Raw genomic sequence first — 17,983 nt, forward strand, 5'->3', positions numbered from 1 at the left:
CAGGGATCTTTGTTATTCATGGAGGTCTCCCAGGAACCTAGAAGAGTACCTGCATCTAGTAAGTGTAGAATGAATGAATGAGGTCAGCAACCATGGCTGTCAATGTGGGGAAATAAAAAAGGAAAAGGATACAATGAAGTCCTGGTAATATGTAGAAAATCCCCCTCCCCTGGAAATACTGGATATCTAGAAGGGGAATTGAGAGTTATCCCACTCTAGAACTGTCAATACCTTGTCCTGCAACATGTAAAAATGTCACTTGATTGGGCAGGATGTAAGGGAGACCCTCCACATTATGGTTCAAACGGGGGCAATGGTGCCATAGTCTACTCAGTCTACTATAAGAACATACCATAGACCAGGTGGCGTAAATGACAGAAATTATTTTTCACAGTTCTGGGAGTCCGAGATCAGGGTGCCAGCATGGTCAGTTTCTGGTGAGGGCTCAGATACTGGCTTGTAGACAGCTGCCTTCTCACTGTGTCTTCATGTGGCAGAGAGAGAACTCTGGTGTCTCTTCCTCTTCTTATAAGGGCACTAATCCCATCATGAGGGCCCCACCTTCATGACCTCATCTAAATCCAATTACCTTCAAAGACCCCATCTCCGAATACCATCACATTGGGCATTAGTGCTTCAATATAAGAATTTTTGGGGAACACAATTCAGTCTATAGGAGACAATGTAGCAAGTGATCAGGACTTTCAGGATCCGGCCTCAGAAGTCAGGTTGGAAGTAGAATGGGATGCTGTCCACATAACCTATGCCTCCTCAGCCCAGAATTCAACGATTGGAAAACATTGAGGCATTGCATAGGCCGAGGGGCATCGCTGTGCACTCATTCAGGTCAAAACCTGGCTGGGCAGCTGCCATTTCCTTTTCACTTTTCCAGATCTTGAGGAATTGTAGTCACTTACAGGTCTAATTTCTTACAAATCATGTTTTTCATGATTTTTAATGAATCATGTCTTGTTCTTTTTATTTATAAAAAAATACTGAGGCTTCTGGGATGGGGAATGCAGAGTCTAAGAAGTGGGTATCACACTATTTAAAATACTGTGATTAAAAAATATTTTAATATTTATGAAAGATTATCCCATAATAATATTTTCGCTGTTGTCATGAATATTTTTTCAGATTACCTTGAAAATTATTTTTTCAAGTTCCAAATCAAACAAATGGAGATTTCAATTGGCACCGTATTAAATCTATAAATGACTTTGAAAAGCATCGGCACTTTTATAGTATTGAGTTGTTTCATTTAGGAACATGGTAGGTTTTGTTTTGTTTTGTTTTGTTTTGAGACAAAGTCTTGCTCTGTCGCCCAGGCTGGAGTGCAGTGGTGTGATCTCGGCTCACTGCAGCCTCTGCCTCCTGGATTCAAGCGATTCTCTTGCCTCAGCTCCCGAGTAGCTGGGGTTACAGGTGGGCGCCACCACGCCCAGCTAATTTTTTTTGTATTTTTAGTAGAGATGTGGTTTCACTATGTTGGTCAGGCTGGTGTTGAACTCCTGACCTCAGGTGATCTGCCTGCCTCGGCCTCCCAAAGTGCTGGGATTACAGGTGTGAGCACCGCGCCTGGCCAGAACATGATAGGTTTTTACATTTTGTTTATATCATTTGTGTCTCTCAATGAAGTTTTGTAGTTTTCTTCATATCCTCTCCTTTCTTTGTAACTGTTATTCATAAGTGTGTTATAGTTTTTGTTATCTTGAATGGAAGAGTTTTCCAATATATTTTCTGATAATTAATTGCTATTATGTTGGAAAGTATTGATATCTGTTTATTTTTCTTATATTCAGCCATCTTATCCGACTCTCTTATTAGTGCTACTAGCTTGTTAGTTTATTCTTTTGAATTTTCAGTCATTTTCTGTGTATAGTGATAGTTTTGCATCCTCCTTTCCAATGGTTATAACACTTATTTTTGTTTCCTGCCCTTTTCTTGACCTCTAATATATTAAATAGTAGCCTGATGCAGTGGCTCACTCCTGTAATCCCAGCACTTTGGGAGGCTGAGGCGGACAGATCACTTGAGGTGAGGAGTTTGAGATCAGCCTGGGCAACATGGCAAAACCCCATCTCTACAAAAAAATACAAAAAAATTAGCTGGACATGGTGGTGCATGCCTGTAGTCCCAGGTACTAGGGAGGCTGAGGTGGGAGGATTGCTCTGGGCTCCTTGCTTGAGCCCAGGAGGTGGAGGCTGCAGTGAGCTGTTAAGTGTGCCACTGCACTCCTGCCTGGCTGACAGAGGGAGACCCTATCTCAAAAACCATCATATATATACGTATGTGAGACAGCATATTTATCTTGGTCCTGATTTTATTGGAATGTCTCTGAAGTTTCACTGTGTGCCAGTTCACCGTGTCCTGTTTGCCTTAACATCTGTTCCTTGCCCTTCCCCGCTCTGTTGTACTGCAGTGGACTGAAATCGGCGTGTCCCAAGGTTCCCATGTCAGCTGGCTTCCTGCTGAGTGCAGGCCCTGGGAGGTTCTGGCAAGAGATTGGTGAATAGAAGAAAGGGAGAAGCCCAGGTATTCCTCCCTTGTTCTCTGCCACAAGTAGCAACTCTAGCAACAGCTGCATCTGTTTCGTGGCTCCAGCTCTGGCCAGACAGGTGTCTCCATGGGTCCAGCTTCTGTTGGGCAAACCTGGTTCCAGGTTTCAGGAAATACTTCTTCCTTTTTTTGTTTCTTCAGCTAGGCTGCCCTTAGTCCCCAGCAAGAGGGTCCCTTCCCAACCCCACGTTAGAGGGCTCTGCATATTCCAAACACACACAAATAACTGAACTGAAGAATTCATGGTTGCCTCTGTGTCTTGAGTTCCTGCATCAGGTCTGCACAGCATGGGCTGTGACCCTAAACTTCTGCTCTTCTGGTTAACACAGAATGGGCCCCAGGAAAGTGCTCTGACATACCTCTTGGCCTGTATCCTCAAAACAAAAGACAACTGCATCTGAGTGCCATTAAGTGTTTTGGGTTGTGTTGCTGCTGATGTTGGGGGTGGATTCTGCTTTGATGTGCTGAGAGGATCTGAAGGTAGAAGCACTTAGACACAAAAGAGGACAAAATGATTAACTTGTCAATCTTTTCTCCCAGACAGCATGTGTTCAGTAGATTTTTGAATAAGGAAGTATAATTTCCCAGAAGTCATAAGTATCCATCTTCTGTCTTCCTTTGGTGTTCCACTTCGTGGTTCTGGAGTTACACGGGAATTAGGATGATATTTTGCAACAGTTGTACACGGTACCTGAGGACTGTTTTGCGATATTAAGCAATTCATGTTGCTCTTAACTATATTTCTCGACCCATTCTGAATTTTGGCCTAAAATACAGAAACATGCTAATGTCACATATCGTACATAGTTTAATGTGTTACTAAGAGATGTGGCCTCAGCTTGAGCCAATAGTTGTAAAATTCTTTGGAGAAATTAAAAGATTATAGGTATTTGTGCTATATCTTGAATTTATCCACAGACAAAGCACATTTAAATTTGATCTTATAGCCACTTGAAGACATATGATGGAAATTCTGACTAGAAAATGCTGCCAAAGTCATTAAATTTTATTTAGAAAATACATAAAATACATAAGGTATACTAGATATAAGATGTACCAGCTACCTGAAACAACAGATGATGCTCACATATAGAGCAAAATGTGGTCTTTGGTGGAAAAGGAAATCAATTTTGGATTTGTGCTATCCACAATTCTTTGATATGAACTATTGCTTGTTATTAATAATGTAAACAAAATAGGTAGGAGGTCCTGAAAGGGAGTCCTCCTTAAAAGGTTTCTGGCTTAGTTTCCTTTCTTTTGAGGATTTTTAACATATAAGCCAAACGAAATCCAAGGATTAAACTGAAAAAAAAAGTAAAAAAAAAAAAATGTACAGAAACAGAAATCTGTAAAAATTAGATCTGTAAAATCTTAGATCTGTAAAAATTCAGATCTAAGTTTGGCAATTTCTCACTTAATTTTTAAAATATATGTTTAAATTTTAAAGAAAATGTTTTTCTCCAAATAGAAATGAACTGCATGTGAAATCAAAATGATATTATAATAAAATATTAGGACATTAGAACAAGAAAATGAAAATGTCTTTATGACTTTAAATTAGTCAGGTGTGGTGGTGCATGCCTTTGTCTCAGCTACTTGGGAGGCTGAGGCATGAGAATGGCTTTCCCTTGAACAAGGCACATGTACCCTAAAACTTAAAGTATAATAATAATAAAATAAAAAAAAAGAAATATCCAGATTAGGCAAATCTAAAAAAAAAAAAAAAAGAAAGACTTTAAAGGAGAAGATTCATTATCCCAAAGTAATGTCTATAAAAACTATTTTCCAATCATTATAGATCAAGATATGGTCTTGATTAAAGACTGATTTTAATAAATTAAGCAGTATGTTTTGATTTTTGGTCTCCTTTATCCTAGCATTGGAATATTTGAAAGACGAACTTAAGAAATGTTATATGGATCTAGATATTACTTTAAGAGATGGTAAAAAAAAGGTATATATGATCGATCATGATTTATATGATAAAAGTAAAATATAATATTGTTCTGCACTATAAGCTTTTCATAGATGATTGTTACAGTGCTTGAAAATAACGTAAAATTTCAAAATAAGTATGCTTTAAAAATTTTACCAATACTTCCAATAAAAGTGTTACTGCCTCAGTAGAGTGAAATTTGTCCAAGTTGAAATTAATAATGCTAAAAAAACCTATCTGGCTGGGCATGGTAGCTCATGCCTGCAATCCCAGCACTTTGGGAGGCCAAGGTGAACAGATTGCTTAAGCCCAGAGTTTGAGACCAGCCTGGGAGCCATGGTGAAACCCCATCTCTACTAAAAATATAAAAATTAGCCAAATGCGGTGGCGTGCACCTGTAGTCTCAGCTTCTCAGGAGGCAGAGGTGGGAGGATCTCTTAAGCCTGGGAGGTCGAGGCTGCAGTGAGTTGTGATGGCACCACTGCAATCCAGCCTCTGCTACAGAGAGAGACCCTGTCTTGAAACAAAACAAAAAATGATCGAAAAATTACAATGAATCAAAAAGTTGTTAAGAACATTTGGCATTACCATCAACAGAAGTTATGTGAAAATCTTGATTATAGCAATAGGATTAATGATTTTTCTGGAGTAAACATCAAGAAAAATAAGAAAAAATATGTATAATTAGTTATGAATTATGAAATGCTTTTATTTTACTATGTATTTGAACATTGCTGGTTCACCAGCACATGCTATTTTGCCAACTTTTATTTATGCAAGAAACATAACTTGCTGGGCATGGTGGCTCATGCTTGTAATCCTAGTACATTGGGAGGCCAAGGCAGGAGGATTACTTGAGCCCAGGAGCTTGAGACCAGCCTGGGTAACATGGTGAAACCTCATCTTTACCAAAAAAATATGAAAATTAACCAGGTGTGGTGACACACGTCTGTAGTCCCATCTACTCAGGAGGCTGAGATGGGAGGATCAATTGAATCCAGGAGTTTGAGGTTGCAGTGGAGTACACCGCTGCACTCCAGTCTGGGTAACAGAATGAGACCCTGTCTCTATTAAAAAGAAAAAAAACTAAAATAACTTTACATGTATTTATTTCAAAATTTTGTCATCATAAAGGTATTTGTAATATAGAAGGATAGAACACACTTTGATTTAACAATTTGTCATTTGACTTATTTTAAACATTGAGACTTATGGTATGTGGACCTTCATTTGTATGCTTGCCCTGGGGTCTCTCAATGTTGCTTTTAACCCAGGGTGCTAGTGGCTTCCTGCTATCAACTTACTGTTGCCTACTTGGCTTTTTACCCTTTGATTTTGCACAAATAAGTAGATACATGTATATTTTCTTATGCTCCCTTTTTTTTCTGTATGAAAAGTAGAGTTATGGGTTGAAGTCCTAACCCTCAGTTCCTCAGAATGTGATCTTCTTTAGAAATAGTGTCATCATGGCAGGGTGCAGTGGCTCACGCTTATAATCCCAGCACTTTGGGAGGCCGAGGTGGGTGGATCACGAGGTGAAGAGATCGAGATCATCCTGGCCAACATGGTAAAACCCTGTCTGTGCTAAAAATACAAAAATTAGCTGGGTGTGGTGGTGTGCGCCTGTAGTCCCAGCTACTCGGGAGGCTGAGGCAGGAGAATCACTTGAACCTGGGAGGTAGAGCTTGCAGTGAGCCAAGATTGAGCCATAGCACTCCAGCCTGGCGGCAGAGCAAGACTCTGTCTCAAAAAAAAAAAAAAAAATCGCATAATCGTAGATGTAATTAATTAAGATAATTAAGATAGGTCAAACTGGAGTAGGGTAGGTCTCTATAGCAATATGACTGTTGTCCCCATAAGAAGAGGGAAATTTGGAGATGGAGATGCACAGAGGAGTGATGTGAAGATACACAAGAGGAGATAGTTATGTGATGACATGGGCAGACAAGTACAGAAGGATATCTGCTGGGTCATAGAGACATGTCTTTTTCATCTTAACAGTGACTCCTAATTGCCATCTAGAGTGGCTCTATCAGCTCATGCTCCCACCAGAAGTGCATGAGAGCATGTTTCTCTATGCCCCAGCCAACACTTGATATTAACAGACATGTAGATTTTTTCCCCATCTGGTGGGTAAACAACAGTATTTTAAAAACATTTGCATTCTGTAGATTACTAGTGAGGTTTTTTTCGTATGTTAATTTTCCATCTCAATTTCTTCTTCTGTAAATTGTCTTTTTATAAACTTTGCACATTTTTTTCTGTTGTGTTGTTTTATTCCTACTAGTTTGAAATATTTCTTTATGTAGGAGATGATCTTATTCATTTAAAATTATCTCTAGTTTAGGAACACCTTTTACATATCAAGAATGTTTGTTGGGTTTAATTGGTGGTCTTTTTAGCTTCTAGTGAGATGATCAAATGATGTTTATTTGACCTATTGATATGAGGCACCTGTAATTGTAAGGATCTTAAAAACCAGAGCAGTTAGATATTATGTGGGCAAGAGGAATGATACCAATGTGGAGCTTTCAAAACATGTTTAGAGGGTGTTTCTTTTTTTCTTTTTTTTTTTTTTTAATGTTTTTTTTTTTGTTATTATACTCTAAGTTTTAGGGTACATGTGCACATTGTGCAGGTTAGTTACATATGTATACATGTGCCATGCTGGTGCGCTGCACCCACTAACGTGTCATCTAGCATTAGGTATATCTCCCAATGCTATCCCTCCCCCCTCCCCCGACCCCACCACAGTCCCCAGAGTGTGATATTCCCCTTCCTGTGTCCATGTGATCTCATTGTTCAATTCCCACCTATGAGTGAGAATATGCGGTGTTTGGTTTTTTGTTCTTGCGATAGTTTACTGAGAATGATGGTTTCCAGCTTCATCCATGTCCCTACAAAGGGCATGAACTCATCATTTTTTATGGCTGCATAGTATTCCATGGTGTATATGTGCCACATTTTCTTAATCCAGTCTATCATTGTTGGACATTTGGGTTGGTTCCAAGTCTTTGCTATTGTGAATAGTGCCGCAATAAACATACGTGTGCATGTGTCTTTATAGCAGCATGATTTATAGTCCTTTGGGTATATACCCAGTAATGGGATGGCTGGGTCAAATGGTATTTCTAGTTCTAGATCCCTGAGGAATCGCCACACTGACTTCCACAATGGTTGAACTAGTTTACAGTCCCACCAACAGTGTAAAAGTGTTCCTATTTCTCCACATCCTCTCCAGCACCTGTTGTTTCCTGACTTTTTAATGATTGCCATTCTAACTGGTGTGAGATGATATCTCATAGTGGTTTTGATTTGCATTTCTCTGATGGCCAGTGATGATGAGCATTTCTTCATGTGTTTTTTGGCTGCATAAATGTCTTCTTTTGAGAAGTGTCTGTTCATGTCCTTCGCCCACTTTTTGATGGGGTTGTTTGTTTTTTTCTTGTAAATTTGTTTGAGTTCATTGTAGATTCTGGATATTAGCCCTTTGTCAGATGAGTAGGTTGCGAAAATTTTCTCCCATGTTGTAGGTTGCCTGTTCACTCTGATGGTAGTTTCTTTTGCTGTGCAGAAGCTCTTTAGTTTAATTAGATCCCATTTGTCAATTTTGGCTTTTGTTGCCATTGCTTTTGGTGTTTTGGACATGAAGTCCTTGCCCACGCCTATGTCCTGAATGGTAATGCCTAGGTTTTCTTCTAGGGTTTTTATGGTTTTAGGTCTAACGTTTAAATCTTTAATCCATCTTGAATTGATTTTTGTATAAGGTGTAAGGAAGGGATCCAGTTTCAGCTTTCTACATATGGCTAGCCAGTTTTCCCAGCACCATTTATTAAATAGGGAATCCTTTCCCCATTGCTTGTTTTTCTCAGGTTTGTCAAAGATCAGATAGTTGTAGATATGCGGCATTATTTCTGAGGGCTCTGTTCTGTTCCATTGATCTATATCTCTGTTTTGGTACCAGTACCATGCTGTTTTGGTTACTGTAGCCTTGTAGTATAGTTTGAAGTCAGGTAGTGTGATGCCTCCAGCTTTGTTCTTTTGGCTTAGGATTGACTTGGCGATGCGGGCTCTTTTTTGGTTCCATATGAACTTTAAAGTAGTTTTTTCCAATTCTGTGAAGAAAGTCATTGGTAGCTTGATGGGGATGGCATTGAATCTGTAAATTACCTTGGGCAGTATGGCCATTTTCACGATATTGATTCTTCCTACCCATGAGCATGGAATGTTCTTCCATTTGTTTGTGTCCTCTTTTATTTCCTTGAGCAGTGGTTTGTAGTTCTCCTTGAAGAGGTCCTTCACATCCCTTGTAAGTTGGATTCCTAGGTATTTTATTCTCTTTGAAGCAATTGTGAATGGGAGTTCACTCATGATTTGGCTCTCTGTTTGTCTGTTGTTGGTGTATAAGAATGCTTGTGATTTTTGTACATTGATTTTGTATCCTGAGACTTTGCTGAAGTTGCTTATCAGCTTAAGGAGATTTTGGGCTGAGACAATGGGGTTTTCTAGATAAACAATCATGTCGTCTGCAAACAGGGACAATTTGACTTCCTCTTTTCCTAATTGAATACCCTTTATTTCCTTCTCCTGCCTGATTGCCCTGGCCAGAACTTCCAACACTATGTTGAATAGGAGCGGTGAGAGAGGGCATCCCTGTCTTGTGCCAGTTTTCAAAGGGAATGCTTCCAGTTTTTGCCCATTCAGTATGATATTGGCTGTGGGTTTGTCATAGATAGCTCTTATTATTTTGAAATACGTCCCATCAATACCTAATTTATTGAGAGTTTTTAGCATGAAGGGTTGTTGAATTTTGTCAAAGGCTTTTTCTGCATCTATTGAGATAATCATGTGGTTTTTGTCTTTGGCTCTGTTTATATGCTGGATTACATTTATTGATTTGCGTATATTGAACCAGCCTTGCATCCCAGGGATGAAGCCCACTTGATCATGGTGGATAAGCTTTTTGATGTGCTGCTGGATTCGGTTTGCCAGTATTTTATTGAGGATTTTTGCATCAATGTTCATCAAGGATATCGGTCTAAAATTCTCTTTTTTGGTTGTGTCTCTGCCCGACTTTGGTATCAGAATGATGCTGGCCTCATAAAATGAGTTAGGGAGGATTCCCTCTTTTTCTATTGATTGGAATAGTTTCAGAAGGAATGGTACCAGTTCCTCCTTGTACCTCTGGTAGAATTCGGCTGTGAATCCATCTGGTCCTGGACTCTTTTTGGTTGGTAAACTATTGATTACTGCCACAATTTCAGAGCCTGTTATTGGTCTATTCAGAGATTCAACTTCTTCCTGGTTTAGCCTTGGGAGAGTGTATGTGTCGAGGAATGTATCCATTTCTTCTAGATTTTCTAGTTTATTTGCGTAGAGGTGTTTGTAGTATTCTCTGATGGTAGTTTGTATTTCTGTGGGATCGGTGGTGATATCCCCTTTATCATTTTTTATTGTGTCTATTTGATTCTTCTCTTTTTTCTTTATTAGTCTTGCTAGCGGTCTATCAATTTTGTTGATCCTTTCAAAAAACCAGCTCCTGGATTCATTGATTTTTTGAAGGGTTTTTTGTGTCTCTATTTCCTTCAGTTCTGCTCTGATTTTAGTTATTTCTTGCCTTCTGCTAGCTTTTGAATGTGTTTGCTCTTGCTTTTCTAGTTCTTTTAATTGTGATGTTAGGGTGTCAGTTTTGGATCTTTCCTGCTTTCTCTTGTAGGCGATTAGTGCTATAAATTTCCCTCTACACACTGCTTTGAATGCGTCCCAGAGATTCTGGTATGTGGTGTCTTTGTTTCGTTGGTTTCAAAGAACATCTTTATTTCTGCCTTCATTTCGTTATGTACCCAGTAGTCATTCAGGAGCAGGTTGTTCAGTTTCCATGTAGTTGAGCGGCTTTGAGTGAGATTCTTAATCCTGAGTTCTAGTTTGATTGCACTGTGGTCTGAGAGATAGTTTGTTATAATTTCTGTTCTTTTACATTTGCTGAGGAGAGCTTTACTTCCAAGTATGTGGTCAATTTTGGAATAGGTGTGGTGTGGTGCTGAAAACAATGTATATTCTGTTGATTTGGGGTGGAGAGTTCTGTAGATGTCTATTAGGTCTGCTTGGTGCAGAGCTGAGTTCAATTCCTGGGTATCCTTGTTGACTTTCTGTCTCGTTGATCTGTCTAATGTTGACAGTGGGGTGTTAAAGTCTCCCATTATTAATGTGTGGGAGTCTAAGTCTCTTTGTAGGTCACTCAGGAGTTGCTTTATGAATCTGGGTGCTCCTGTATTGGGTGCATAAATATTTAGGATAGTTAGCTCCTCTTGTTGAATTGATCCCTTTACCATTATGTAATGGCCTTCTTTGTCTCTTTTGATCTTTGTTGGTTTAAAGTCTGTTTTATCAGAGACTAGGATTGCAACCCCTGCCTTTTTTTGTTTTCCATTGGCTTGGTAGATCTTCCTCCATCCTTTTATTTTGAGCCTATGTGTGTCTCTGCACGTGAGATGGGTTTCCTGAATACAGCACACTGATGGGTCTTGACTCTTTATCCAACTTGCCAGTCTGTGTCTTTTAATTGCAGAATTTAGTCCATTTATATTTAAAGTTAATATTGTTATGTGTGAATTTGATCCTGTCATTATGATGTTAGCTGGTGATTTTGCTCATTAGTTGATGCAGTTTCTTCCTAGTCTCGATGGTCTTTACATTTTGGCATGATTTTGCAGCGGCTGGTACCGGTTGTTCCTTTCCATGTTTAGCGCTTCCTTCAGGAGCTCTTTTAGGGCAGGCCTGGTGGTGACAAAATCTCTCAGCATTTGCTTCTCTATAAAGTATTTTATTTCTCCTTCACTTATGAAGCTTAGTTTGGCTGGATATGAAATTCTGGGTTGAAAATTCTTTTCTTTAAGAATGTTGAATATTGGCCCCCACTCTCTTCTGGCTTGTAGGGTTTCTGCCGAGAGAACTGCTGTTAGTCTGATGGGCTTTCCTTTGAGGGTAACCCGACCTTTCTCTCTGGCTGCCCTTAACATTTTTTCCTTCATTTCAACTTTGGTGAATCTGACAATTATGTGTCTTGGAGTTGCTCTTCTTGAGGAGTATCTTTGTGGCATTCTCTCTATTTCCTGAATCTGAACGTTGGCCTGCCTTGCTAGATTGGGGAAGTTCTCCTGGATAATATCCTGCAGAGTGTTTTCCAACTTGGTTCCATTCTCCACATCACTTTCAGGTACACCAATCAGACGTAGATTTGGTCTTTTCACATAGTCCCATATTTCTTGGAGGCTTTGCTCATTTCTTTTTATTCTTTTTTCTCTAAACTTCCCTTCTCGCTTCATTTCATTCATTTCATCTTCCATTGCTGATACCCTTTCTTCCAGTTGATCGCATCGGCTCCTGAGGCTTCTGCATTCTTCACGTAGTTCTCGAGCCTTGGTTTTCAGCTCCATCAGCTCCTTTAAGCACTTCTCTGTATTGGTTATTCTAGTTATACATTCTTCTAAATTTTTTTCAAAGTTTTCAACTTCTTTGCCTTTGGTTTGAATGTCCTCCCGTAGCTCAGAGTAATTTGATCGTCTGAAGCCTTCTTCTCTCAGCTCGTCAAAATCATTCTCCATCCAGTTTTGTTCCATTGCTGGTGAGGAACTGCGTTCCTTTGGAGGAGGAGAGGCGCTCTGCTTTTTAGAGTTTCCAGTTTTTCTGTTCTGTTTTTTCCCCATCTTTGTGGTTTTATCTACTTTTGGTCTTTGATGATGGTGATGTACAGATGGGTTTTCGGTGTAGATGTCCTTTCTGGTTGTTAGTTTTCCTTCTAACAGACAGGACCCTCAGGTGCAGGTCTGTTGGAATACCCTGCCGTGTGAGGTGTCAGTGTGCCCCTGCTGGGGGGTGCCTCCCAGTTAGGCTGCTCGGGGGTCAGGGGTCAGGGACCCACTTGAGGAGGCAGTCTGCGCGTTCTCAGATCTCCAGCTGCGTGCTGGGAGAACCACTGCTCTCTTCAAAGCTGTCAGACAGGGACACTTAAGTCTGCAGAGGTTACTGCTGTTTTTTTGTTTGTCTGTGCCCTGCCCCCAGAGGTGGAGCCTACGGAGGCAGGCAGGCCTCCTTGAGCTGTGGTGGGCTCCACCCAGTTCGAGCTTCCCGGCTGCTTTGTTTACCTAAGCAAGCCTGGGCAATGGCGGGCGCCCCTCCCCCAGCCTCGTTGCCGCCTTGCAGTTTGATCTCAGACTGCTGTGCTAGCAATCAGCGAGATTCCGTGGGCGTAGGACCCTCTGAGCCAGGTGTGGGATATAGTCTCGTGGTGCGCCGTTTCTTAAGCCGGTCTGAAAAGCGCAATATTCGGGTGGGAGTGACCCGATTTTCCAGGTGCGTCCGTCACCCCTTTCTTTGACTCGGAAAGGGAACTCCCTGACCCCTTGCGCTTCCCAGGTGAGGCAATGCCTCGCCCTGCTTCGGCTCACGCACGGTGCGCGCACACACTGGCCTGCGCCCACTGTCTGGCACTCCCTAGTGAGATGAACCCGGTACCTCAGATGGAAATGCAGAAATCACCCGTCTTCTGCGTCGCTCACGCTGGGAGCTGTAGACCAGAGCTGTTCCTATTCGGCCATCTTGGCTCCTCCACCCGAGGGTGTTTCTTTGAGAGTGAGGAAGTCATCGTTAGAGGCTAGGCTGAAGCCCTGGGCAGGGTCTTATAGAGATGTAAAAGGTCTGAACTTTAAGGTACAGACAAAGTGAAACTACTGCAGAATTTTATTTTATTTTATTTTTAAGACAGACTCTCATTCTGTCACCCAGGCTGGAGTACAGCAGCATGATCTCCGCTCACTGCAGTCTCTACCTCCTGGATTCAAGTGATTCTCGTGCCTCAGCCTCCCGAATAGCTGGGATTGCAGGCCTGCACCACCATGCCTGGCTTATTTTTGTATTTTTAGCAGAGATGGGGTTTTGCCATGTTGGCCAGGCTGGTCTCGAACTCCCAGACTCAAGTGATCTGCCCTCCTTGGCCTCCCAAAGCTGGGATTCCAGGCGTGAGCCACTGTGCCCAACCCTACTACAGGATTTTAAAGGATAACTGTGGAATTTAAGAAGATTAATATGGTGGTGGGGTGGAGGAAGATGAGGAAGAAGAGAAGGAAGGTAGTTAAACTAATATGACTCTCTAAAGCTGACTTTTTTTTTTTTTTTTTGATACTGAGTCTCACTCTGTCACCCAGGTTGGAGTGCAGTGGTGTGATCTTGGCTCACTGCAACCTCTACCTCTTGGGTTCAAGTGATTCTCCTGCCTCAGCCTCCCAAGTAGCTGGGATAACAGGCACCTGCCACCATGCCTGGCTAATTTTTGTATTTTTAGTAGAGATGGGGTTTCACCATGTTGGCCAGGCTGGTTTCAAACTCCTGACCTCAAGTGATACCCTGCCTCGACCTCCCAAAGTGCTGGGATTACAGCCATGAGCCACCCTGCCCAGTCTTAAAACTGAGATTTAGAAAGAAGATCTGCATGAGAAAAGAAAGATACCTGTTTGCCCATAAATACTAGCATGTCATTGACCTGGGAACTGTGTCAGGAGGGCTAGAGCTCAAAATAACTTTTGGGTTACAAATAATGTCCAAATTGTGCAAAGTTAATTACGAAAAAAGAAATAAGAATATGTAGGGAAACTTTGCTCTAGACAAATGGTGTATTTTTTTTTTTTTTTTTTTTTTTGAGGCAGGGTCTCTCACTCTGTTTTCCAGGCTGCAGTACAGTGGTGCCATCATGGCTCACCACAGCTACGACCTCCCAGGCTCAAGTGATCCTCCTACCTCAGCCTCCTGAGTAGCTGGGACCACAGGTGCATGCCGCCACACCCAGCTTTGTAGACATAGGATCCCACTATGTTGCCCAGGCTTGTCCAAACTCCTGGGCTCAAGCAATCCTCCCATTTTGGTCTCCCAAAGTGCTGTGATTAGAGGTGTGAGCCACTGCACCTGGCCAAATTGTGTAATATTAATATTGATATGTGGCAGAGAGAAAGAACATCTCATCAACTTGTTTTGCTTTCAATTGACAATGTCAAAGAGAGATTTTCAGGCCGAAGGTGTGGTATAGCGTAGAACAATATGGTAACTGAAGGCAGTTCAGAAGGGGTGAAGAAATTGGAGGAAAACATCTGTCTGCTCCAGGTGAACTGTGTTCCAGGAAATGGAGAGAACTTTGAATGATGTCTCAACCTTTGTCGGTGACTTTAGAGAGAGCTTGTAGAATGTTAATATTGCTTTAAAAAAGGGAGTGGGTGGGTGTGAACAAATGAAACGCCAAATTTGAAAAATGCAGATTTCACAAATCACAGATCAATGACCTTAATGCCATTTTGGAGCAAGATTCTAGGAATGGCTTAAGAAGGGGATGACTTATGGGCTCCCAGAAGAGGAAGTGAGGATCATTAGAACTCCACAAAGGATATATAAGAACTCCACATATAAGAACATGACAGACTTACCAAATTTTCTTCATAGGTTTACATGACTTCTAGATGAAGGAGGTATTAGCTAAAAGGAACACTAACAACCAGAAAGTATCAGAAACCAGAGAAGAGCAAGCACAAGAATGAACAAGGGGTATTTAGTCTGGAGGAAAGAAGATGTAGGAAGAACATGATGACTGATGTCAAGGGCAAGAAGGACCACTAAATGGAAGACAAATCAGGCCTCATTGTGGGCCTCTAGAAAGCAAAAACAAAAGCCAATGAGTATAATTATACAGACTTAGGAGAAAGCTCAGTATAGGGAAGAACTGTGTAGCTACTTTCACTGTCTGAAGTGGAGTGGGCCGCTTGCAGACAAAGTGATTCCCCCATCACTTCAAGTGTGCAAGCAGAAGCTGGTCATTCACTCTTTGGAAAATGTTGTAAAAGAGATTCATGCATTATTACATGTGTGTTTGACTCTAGACTCTTCTGATTTTGAGATCCTATGATCTGGGATGGTGTTGGTGCAAATGGGAAGAAATAGGTTGGAAACCCAAAGATGGTGATGCTATAGCTAGCAGAGTGGAAGGAATCGGAAGCAGGCAGCAGGAAGAAACTTAGATCACCCAATTAAGAAAAGATAGTCATGCAACCGTCTTAGCCCCGAGGACCAGGATCATCCCATAATAATATAGGGCTGCCCAAGGTAATTGCACTTCAAAGGAGGCCATGAATCAATAACTTTATAGGATTTTTGGGATTTCATCAAGGACAAACATTTCAAAATAGAATTTTAATGATGTTCAGTAAAGAGGAGGATAGTGTACCATTTGGGTTCCCACTGCAAGCAGGGCCCGAAATACAGGACTGCTGAGGACCTTGGGGAGTGGGCCAGGCACATCCTTGGAAGCAGGCCTCAGGTACAGGCCAGGAGAAACTAGATGGGTGGCACAATGGAAGAGGAAGGAAAGATAAGGACAAAATAAACAGGTACATTTACTAGGAATGAACAACTGCCTGGACTGCCAGTGGTCTCAGGGGCACCCCCTTCGGCCGGGTTTAAGAAGAGAGGAAAGCTGGAAACCAGGAGACTGGGGCTTGAAGGCCCCCTGTGCCCTGATTTCGCGAGTGACCTTGTAGATGTCATTTCACCCCTTTTCTACCTCCCTGTTATCAAATGCAGGCAGCTTGTTAGCCTAAAAGTGCTCTCGACTTTAGTGAAGAAGATAACTTTAGAAATTTAAGACGTTGTCTGCATGAGTGCAAAGTGTTTGCGCTTATTTGTTTCTCTATTTTCAAGGTTGGGGGAGGGTGCACTGGTTAAGGGGGGTGGGTAGAAAGGAAGATTAGAAGACACTGGGGCCAAAGTCACTTGACTCCATCTCGACATCCTAGGGCAGCCAGAGGGCAGAGATCTGGCCAAGGGCGCATGCCTGCAGTCCCTCGACCAGCCGGGCACCCGAGAATCCAGCGGGCCTCCTCAGGCTCTGCTGTCCCTTGGGCAAATCCCATTGCAGAATCCAGGGGTGAAAAGCGAAAGCGAGGCACGCCCCTCCCCCACTAGATGGCACTGAAACGCCTCGTTCGCGCTTTTCAAAATGCAGGAAGGGCGGGGGAGAGAGAGAGAGAGAGAGAGGGAAAAAAAAAAAGACAAAAAGAATATGGTGGAGGTGCGCTCATTTTGGCTCACAAGCCCCGTTGTGCAAAGCAGGGTGTCAGAGACTCTCTTTTTCCCCAGGGCAACTCTTTACCCGGCAATGCCGGACCTCGACTTTGGGGTGAGGGTGAAAACGAGGGGTGAGCATTAGAGTGAAAAACCCAGCGTTTGATGCCGGGAGGGAGGGTCCCAGCCTTTGCGGCGCCGTCTCACGTGAGCAGAGCAGGGGGGCTGAAGTTGGGATGAAGCGGGGCTTGCCTGGGGCCCACCCGCTCAAGGTCTGGGGTCCGGCGCTACCTCCCAGAGCCCCTGCAGAGCCTAAATCCAGCGGCCACCCTTACAAAATGACAAACCCTGCATCGAGGTTTCTTTTAACCCCACCTTCCCTCAACGCTCGAGCTCTCCAGCGTTTTCAAAATATCTACTAACGGACCACCCCCCATCCACCATTAAATTTCTCTCGTCTTGAGTCGATCAGCCAAATTTCTTCTTTCTGTTCCTGCCGAGGAGGGAGGGCAGGTGGAGGTGGGTGTGTGTCGGGGTGCCTGGCTCTGGCTTGGGACTGGACTGGGGCTGGCCGGATAACTCCGCAGCCGCTCTCAGCTCAGTCCTAGGTGGAAACGCCTGTAGCTTGCAAGGTAGCGCCTGTGGCTTTCTGGGGAAAAAAAGATCAAATGCCTCCCAAGACACCAGCGACCCAAACCGGGGATGCAGGGAGCTCGCTTGGCCCCTTTGAAGGCCGACTCCGCAATAAGCAGTTTTTCCTTTAAATAACCGTAGTGGATTTGAGAGAATTTTCCATGGCTGAAAAGAGAAACAGGAGCTGTAGGCAACATCCCTAAATTTATAATAATGCATGTAAACATGCTACATACCACATATATGTATATGTGCATAAATATGGATGTGGTTGGGCACATACCTATCTAGACACCATTGACTTGCCTGGTCAAAGAATAAGACTTAGACATTTCGTGCCTGGGAAATGGTGCAGTTTATCTTTAAGGAGACTAGAAAAATAAGAGATGAGGCTCACGTTGCACGGATGACATCACTAGCTTTTGGCTGCGCGCTCGGTGTTCTCGTCTGTGGGTTTTAGCCAAGGCTGCAGCTACCCGCGCCGGACGAGAGAGCGCGGCAGCAGCTTCCTCCGGCGCCCGCACCCGGGCAATGCGATTTCCCCAGTCCCCTGGGCGCAGCCTGGGCTCTCGCGCCTCCCGGGCACCAGCCGAGCCTGCGAGGCCTCGGAGCCGCCGCGGCTAGAGGAGGAGGCGACGAGGGGAAGCCGAGTGACCCAGCCTCCCTCCCCCACCCTCTCCCCATTCATCTCGGCGACCACCGCGCGCCGGGAGCCGGATCGTGGGACGCCGAGGCCAGGACGGGATTCTCTGCACG

At 42.8% G+C, this 17,983-nt stretch overlaps 1 long non-coding RNA gene across 1 annotated transcript, besides 2 other annotated features; it reads left to right on the forward strand.

The window, feature by feature from the left end:
- Positions 1-1,944: 1,944 nt before the first annotated feature.
- On the forward strand, positions 1,945-15,356 carry LOC105375537 (uncharacterized). The gene is made up of 3 exons (XR_928053.4): positions 1,945-2,037; positions 2,423-2,535; positions 14,981-15,356. It is a non-coding gene; the product is annotated as an uncharacterized LOC105375537 (long non-coding RNA).
- Positions 2,622-3,123: an enhancer, noted in NCBI's record as "NANOG hESC enhancer chr7:140757357-140757858 (GRCh37/hg19 assembly coordinates)". NCBI's record gives its function as "activates a minimal SCP1, AML or CMV promoter by ChIP-STARR-seq in primed H9 embryonic stem cells {active_cell/tissue: H9 hESC(primed)}" and the evidence as "EXISTENCE:reporter gene assay evidence [ECO:0000049][PMID:30033119]".
- Positions 12,184-12,778: an enhancer, noted in NCBI's record as "NANOG-H3K27ac-H3K4me1 hESC enhancer chr7:140766919-140767513 (GRCh37/hg19 assembly coordinates)". NCBI's record gives its function as "activates a minimal SCP1, AML or CMV promoter by ChIP-STARR-seq in primed H9 embryonic stem cells {active_cell/tissue: H9 hESC(primed)}" and the evidence as "EXISTENCE:reporter gene assay evidence [ECO:0000049][PMID:30033119]".
- Positions 15,357-17,983: the final 2,627 nt, after the last annotated feature.

The sequence above is a fragment of the Homo sapiens genome, chromosome 7 (assembly GCF_000001405.40).
Source record: "Homo sapiens chromosome 7, GRCh38.p14 Primary Assembly".
NCBI lineage: Eukaryota > Metazoa > Chordata > Mammalia > Primates > Hominidae > Homo > Homo sapiens.